The 862-nt window shown below is 50.9% G+C and overlaps 1 annotated feature.

The window, feature by feature from the left end:
- Positions 338-457: a silencer, noted in NCBI's record as "silent region_436". NCBI's record gives its function as "represses an Ori minimal core promoter by ATAC-STARR-seq in GM12878 lymphoblastoid cells {active_cell/tissue: GM12878}" and the evidence as "EXISTENCE:reporter gene assay evidence [ECO:0000049][PMID:35858748]".

Genomic DNA, 862 nt, shown 5'->3' on the forward strand with positions numbered 1-862 from the left:
GGAGGCTGAGGCAGGAGAATCGCTTGAACTCGGGAGGCAGAGGTTGCAGTGAGCCAAGATCACACCATTGCCATTGAACTCCAGCCTAAGCAACAAGAGCGAGATTCCGTCTCAAAACAAAGCAAAACAAAACAAAAACAAAGACTTAGGTTCACGAACAAACTCTGAACACTTACTAATTCTAAGGCCAGGGTAAATCTTTCATCTTGCTCAGCCTCAGTTTCCTTATCTGTAAAATGGGGATCATAATTTGTCATCCAAATTGTGAGGATTGGGTAAAAACATTTTTAATAAGGGCATGTATGTGAGCATCCCCCATGTATGGCAAAGAAGTTGTCTAAATTTAAGAGGTTGTTGTTTTTCTTAATCTCAGAGCAGGAGCCAGGGCAGGAAGTAGGCAGGCTGATTAGGGCGGCCAAGTGTCCCTGCCCAAGAGTGACTACTTCCGTCCCTGGTGTTCTTCATTAAGTCCCCAGGAAAGGAGGAGGGTGGGCCGGAAGAAAGGGCAAAGCTCTAGGTCCTTATCTAGAACTCTGCCTCCATGCAAGAGCCCTCCAAGGGAAGAGAAGTTCTGGATTATCACCACTGAGCTCCAAGCATGCCAGAGGGCTCAGCAGGGAGAAAGTCTGTCAGCACCTGACCCAGCAACAGCTGGGGAGAGGCCTGGATGGGTAGGTTGCATGCCTCCCCCTCAGCCTGTGTCATGGCCCTGCCCTGGCCTCATGGTCCAGGACTCAGTCCCCATAGCCTGTCCTACCAAGGGGAACACCAGACTCCAGCACTGCGATGCACAAATGCCAAACCCTCCCAAGGGGCAGCTTTGGCAAGTGACTGGAACTGGAGTCAGGAGGCGCCGGCTCTT

Source organism: Homo sapiens, chromosome 1 (genome assembly GCF_000001405.40).
Source record: "Homo sapiens chromosome 1, GRCh38.p14 Primary Assembly".
Taxonomy (NCBI): Eukaryota; Metazoa; Chordata; class Mammalia; order Primates; family Hominidae; genus Homo; species Homo sapiens.